Source organism: Homo sapiens, chromosome 11 (genome assembly GCF_000001405.40).
Source record: "Homo sapiens chromosome 11, GRCh38.p14 Primary Assembly".
Classification (NCBI taxonomy): domain Eukaryota; kingdom Metazoa; phylum Chordata; class Mammalia; order Primates; family Hominidae; genus Homo; species Homo sapiens.
In genome coordinates, this window is record NC_000011.10 from 118,680,717 (window position 1) to 118,687,433 (window position 6,717).

The following is a 6,717-nucleotide window of genomic DNA, read 5'->3' on the forward strand; positions in this document are numbered from 1 at the left end:
CAGAGAAGTTTGTGAGCTTAAGAAGCAGATTCAGGCTGGGTGCAGTGGCTCATGCCTGTAATCCCACCACTTTGGGAGGCCGAGGCGGGTGGATCACCTGAGGTCAGGAGTTCAAGACCAGCCTGGCCAACATGGTGAAACCCCGTCTCTACAAAAATACAAAAATTAGCTGGGCATGATGGCGGGTACCTGTAATCCCAGCTCCTCAGGAGGCTGAGGTGGGAGAATCGCTTGAACTCGGGAGACAGAGGTTGTAGTGAGCCGAGATCATGCCACTGCACTCCAGCCTGGGCGACAGAGTAAGTCTCTGTCTCAAAAAAAAAAAAAAAAAAAAAAAAGCAGATTCGGTTACTTTAGGAGGCTCATCCCCTCAACATATGGAAGGTGAGCTGAAGGGACAGGGGACAGGGGGTGGGCAAGGCACATGGAGTTTAATGATAGGCATGACCTCTCCTGAAGGACTTAGGTTTGCAGTTAAGGATGTCAGTTGTGGCACCTGAGCAGTGTTTACTGCTATTAAAAAGAAAAACCTTAGACAAATTAAATTTAACCATTTATTCAAGCAAAGAAATGACTCATGAATCAGGCACCACTCTGAACTAGTAAAGGTTCAGATAGCTCCACCCAGTAATGTGGGCAGCTGGCATTGTTTTTTTTGTTTGCTTTGTTTTTTGAGACAGGGTCTCGCTCTGTTGCCCAGGCTGGCATGCAGTGGCTCCATCACAGCTCACTGCAGCCTTGATCTCTCAGGTTTAAGGGATTCTCCCACCTCAGCCTCCTGAGCAGCTGGGACCACAGGCACATGCCACCACGCCCAACTAATTTTTAAATTAAAAATAATTTTTTTTTTTTTAGAGATTGGGTCTCCCTATGTTGTCCAGGCTGGTGTGGAACTCCTGAGCTCAAGCAATCCTCCTGCCTCATCCTCCCAATGTATTGGGATTACAGGTGTGAGCCACCATGCCTGGTCAACAATTTTTAAGTGTACAATTCAATTTCCTTTTATTACATTCACAATGCTGTGCAACCACCCTTGCATTCTTTGGATAAATCTCACTTGGTCATGATGTCTAATCCTTTTAATAAACTGTTGGTTTTGGCTTGCGAGTATTTTTTTGAGGAATTTTGCATCAATATGTATAGAGCATATTTGACTGTAATTTTCTTTCCTTGTTTTGTTTTGTTTTTTTTTTTTTTTGGACACATAGTCTTGCTCCATCACCCAGCAGGCTGGAATACAGTGGCATGAACACAGCTCACCACAACCTCGACTTCCTGGGGCTCAAGTGGTCATCTGGCCTCAACCTTCTGAGTAGCCAGGACTACAGGTGCATGCCACCACGCCTGGGTAATTTTTAAATTTTTTTGTAGAGACTACATCTGACTGTGTCGCCCAGGCTGGTCTTGAACTCCTGGCCTCAAGTGATCCTCCCGCCTTGGCCTCCCAAAGTGTTTCTCCCCAAGTGTGAGCCACCATGCCCAGCCCTCTTGTGATGTCTTTATCTGGTTTTAATATCAGGGTAATGTTAGCCTCATAGCATGAGTTAGGAAATATGCCCCTCTTCTATTTGTGGAAGTGTTTGAGAAGGATTGTTAATTCTTTAAATGTTTGGTAGAATTTACCAATGAAGCCATCTGGTCCTGGACCGTATTAGGCAGAAACAATACATATATGGGGGATGGGGGTAGAGAGAGAGAGTTTGAGAGGTAGCTGGCAAGTCCAAAATCTCTAGGGTAGGCTGGCAGGCTGGAGAAACAGGGAAGAAGCTGCAGTTCAAGTCTGAAGGCAGCATGCTGAGAGAATTCCTTCTTCTTCTGGGGAGGTCAGTCTTTTTCAAATTAAAGTCTTCAACTGATTGGATAAGGCCCATCCAAGTTAGGGAGGGTAACCTGCTTTACTCAAAGTCTACAAATTTAAATGTTATTTTCATCTAAAAAATATCTTCACAGAAACATCTAGAATAATGCTTGACCAACTATCTGGATACCTTTGCCTAGCCATGTTGACACATAAAATTAAACATCTTTTTTTTTTTTTTTGAGATGGAGTCTCGCTGTGTTGCCCAGGCTGGAGTGCAGTGGCATGATCTTGGCTCACTGCAACCTCTGCCTCCTAGGTTTAAGCGATTCTCCTGCCTCAGCCTCGTGAATAGCTGGGATTACAGGCGCCCACCACCACACCCAGCTACTTTTTGTATTTTTAGTAGAGATGGGTTTTCACCGTGTTAGCCAGGCTGGTCTCGAACTCCTGGCCTCAGGTGATCCACCCGCCTTGGCCTCCCAAAGTGCTAGGATTACAGGCATGAGCCAACGTGCCCAGCCAATGTTCTTTAAAAAAACACATGACTCTACAGTGATTGTACTAACTTACATTCTCACCAACAGTATATGAGGGTTCCTTTTCTCCACATCCTCACCAGCATTTGTTATTGCCTGTCTTTTGGATAAAAGCCATTTTAACCGTAGTGAGATAATATCTCATTGTAGTTCTGATTTGCATGTCTCTGATGATCAGTTATGTAGCGCACCTTTTCATATACCTGTTTGCGACTTGTATGTCTTCTTTTAAGCAAGGTTTATAGTGATTCAGATCTTCTGCCCATTATGCAGACTGGCTTTGTTCTGGGGGAACACCTCATTATATTGCGCAGGCTGGTCTCAAACTCCTGGGCTCAAGCAATCCTCCCACCTTGGCCTCTCAAAGTGCTAGGATTACAGGTATGAGCCACCATGCCCAGCCAGTAGTGTTTTTTTTTTTTTTTTTTGAGACGAAGTCTTGCTCTATCACCCAGGCTGGAGTGCAATGGCATGATCTTGGCTCACTGCAACCTCCGCCTCCTGGATTCGAGTGATTCTCCTGCCTCAGCCTCCTGAGTAACTGGGACTACAGGCGCCCACCACCACACCCGGCTAATTTTTGTATTTTTAGTAGAGATGGGGTTTCACCATATTGGCCAGGCTGTTCTTGAACTCCTGACCTCATGATCCACCCACCTCAGCCTCCCAAAGTTCTGGGATTACCGGCATGAGCCACCACGCCCGGCCTCCAGCAGTTCTTTTTTTAGTATTATATGTTTACAACTAACCAAGTCTACTCAAATAACACTACATTTCATGGTAGTGCAAGTACCTTATGATAACAAAGTAGTCTTAACTTCTCCCTCCTGTCCCTTCTATCATTGCTGTCATTCAGTTCCCTTATCCATAAACTAGAATCGTTGAATACACAGTTGCTATTACAGATTGAGCACCCCAAATCTGATAACCCAAAATCTGAAATGCTCCAAAATCCAAAACTTGTTGAGTACAGACATAATGATCAAAGGAAATGCTCACTGAAGCATTTCAGATTTTGGATGATCAGATTTGGGATTTTGAACCAGTAAGTATATTGCAAATATTTCAAAATTCAAAAAAAAAAAATCCAAAATCCAAAATTCTCCTGGTATCAAGCATTTTGGATAAATGCCCTGTTTTATTTTGAACAAACCATTATCTGTTAGATTAACTAAGGATAAGAAAAGTAAAAGCTTTTATTTTACCTTCACTTATTCCTTCTCTAAAGCTCTTCCCTTGTTTATGTAGTTCAAAGTTTCTAACTTATATCATCTTTCTTTTCTCTGAAGAAGTTTTTTTTTTTTTAAATACTTCTTGCAAGACAGGTCTACAGATTCTCTCAATTTTTGTTGGCTTGTGAAAGTTCTCATTTCTCCATCACTTTTTTTTTCCTTTTTTTCTTTTTCTTTTCTTTCTTTTCTTTTCTTTTTTTTTTTTTTTTTTTAAGACAGATTCTTGCTCTGTTGCCCAGGCTGGAGTGCAGTGGTGCTATCTCGGCTCACTGCAATCTCCGCCTCTCAGGTTCCAGTGATCCTCCAGCCTCAGCCCCCCAAAGTAGCTGGGACCACAGGCATGTGCCACCACTAAAGTTTGTATTTTTTTTGTAGAGACGGGGTTTCACCATGTTGCCTAGGCTGGTCCCAAACTCCTGAGCTCAAAGCCATCTGCCTGCCTCGGCCTCCCAAAGGGCTGGGATTACAGGCATGAGCCACTGTGCTGGCCTCTCCATCACTTTTGAAGGATGGTTTTGCAGGAAAGAGATTCTAGGGATTATAGGTTGGTGGGGTCTTCTTCTCTGTCAATGCTTTAAATATCTCACATGGCTCTCTTCTTCCTTGCATGGTTTCTAAGAAGTCTGGTGTTATTTTTATCCTTGGTCCTCCATAGGTAAGGTTTTTTTTACTCCTCTGCCCTCTTCCAAGACTTTTTATCTTTGAATTTCTGCAATTTGAATATAATATGCCTAGGTGTTGATTTTTTCTTCTTTTTGGGGGGCATCTGTCTTCCTTAGTATTTTCTGAGCTTCCTGGATCTGTGGTTTGGTGTCTGATACAAATTTGGGGAAATTCTCATTCATTATTGTTTCAAATGTATCTTCAGTTCCCTCTTTCTTGCTCTGTATTCCCATTAATGCATATGTGATGACTTTTGTCATTGTCCCACAGTTTTGGATATTCTGTTCTGTCTGTTTCAGTCTTGCCTCTCTTTGCTTTTGAGTTTTGGAAGTTTCTATTGACATATCCTCAAGTTCATGGATTCTTTCCTCAGCTTTGTCCAGTCTACTAAAGAGCTGATCAAAGGCACTTCCTTTGTGTTTTTTTCTCCTCATTGTACTTCTTCTTTGTTTTTTTCTTAGAATTTTCATCCCTCTGCTTAAATTACTTATCTGTTCTTGCATGTTGTCTACTTTTTCCATGAGCACCCTTGGCATGTTAATCATAGTTGTTTCAAATTTCCGGCCTGATAATTCCAACATCCCCGCTATAGTTGAGTCTGGTTCTGTTACTCGCTCTGTCGCTTCAAGTGGTATTTTCTGCCTTTTAGTAAGACTTCTAGTTTTTTCTTGAAACCAAACCAGTACTGGGTAAAAGAAACCCAGTGTGGAGGTGTCTACTCTGGTAAGTTGTGACTCTCTGGATCTGCCTGTCTGTCTCCAGTTTTGGAGGCAGCTCTGTGACCTTAATTTGCTCTGTGACCTTAATTCTCTGACAGATCTAAGAAGAGTTGCGGGTGTTGTTTATTCAGCTTTTTACTGTTGTTAAGATGGAGTGACAGTTGCCACACTCCTTACACCCTAAGCCAGAAACAAGAAACCCCCATTTAGTTCTTTTTTTTTTTTTTTAATTTGAGAGTCTCACTCTGTCGCCCAGGCTGGAGTGCAATGGCACAATCTCGGCTCACTGCAACCTCTGCCTCCTGGATTCAAGCAATTCTCCTGCCTCAGCCTCCCCAGTAGCTGGGATTACAGGCATGCCCCACCACGCCCAGCTAATTTTTGTATTTTTAGTACAGACAGGGTTTCACCATGTTGGCCAGGCTGGTCTCGAACTCCTGACTTCAGGTGGTCCTCCCACTTTGGCCTCCCAAAGTGCTGGGATTACAGGCATGAGCCACCGTGCCTGGCCGGTTCTCTTTGTATTTTCTTTTTCTTTTATTTTCTAGAGACAGAGTTTTCCTCTGTCACCCATGCAGGAGTGCAGTGGCTCAATGACAGCTCCTTGCAACCTTGAACTCCTGGGCTCAAACAATCCTTCCACCTCATCCTCCCAAATAGCTGGGACTACAGGCATGTGCCATAATGCCTGGCTAATTTTAAAAATTACAGCTCACTATGTTGCCCAGGCTGGCCCTGAAATCCTGTCCTCAAGTGATCCTCTTGCCTTGGCCTCTCGAAGCACTGGGATTACAGGTGTGAGCCATCACACCCAGCCCTTTTTTAATTTTTATTTTTTTATTATTATGATTTTTGAGACAGGATCTTGCTCTGTTGCCCAGGCTGGAATGCAGTGGCACAATCACAGCTCACTGCAGCCTCCACCTCCTGGGCTTAAGCAATCTCACCTCAGCGTCCTGAGTAGCTGGGACTACAGGTGTGCACCACCACACCTGGCTAATTTTTTATTTTTGTAGAGATGGGGTCTCACTATGTTGCCTTGGCTGGTTTTGAACTCCTGGGCTCAAGTGATTTGCCTGCCTCAGCCTACCAAATGTTGGGACCACCGGGGTGAGCCACTATACCCCCTGGCCCTTTTTAATACTTTCCATCTGTTTATTGATACCCTTTCTTTAGTATATAGTGGTCACTTTTTTTTTCTGAGATGGAGTCTCGCTCTGTTGCCCAGGCTGGAGTGCAGCAGTGCAATATTGGGTCGCTGCAACCTCCACCTCCTGGGTTCAAGCGATTCTCCTGCCTCAGCCTCCCGAGTAGCTGGGATTACAGGCGCCCGCCACCACACCCAGCTAATTTTTGTATTTTTAGTAGAAGACAGGGTTTCATTATGTTGGCCAGGCTGGTCTCGAACTCCTGACCTCAGGTGATCCACCCATCTCAGCCTCCCAAAGTGCTGGGATTACAGGTGTGAGCCACCGTGCCCAGCCTAGTGGTCACTCCTATAAGACAATTTCTCTTGCCTGGTTGTGTGTGTGTGTGTCATACTTTTCTGTTTTTTTGTGTGTGTCTCGTAATTTTTTGTAGGAAAACAAACATTTTAGATAACATATTGTAGCAATGCTGGGTACTGGCTGCCTCACCACACTCTACCCAGAGCGTGCTATTGTTCATTTGTGTATTTGGGGAGCAACTGGCTGAATTATGGTCCTGGTCTATTTCCCACCCTCTGTGTTAAGCCCATGAGGTTGCTCCTCGGGGAGACACAGCTT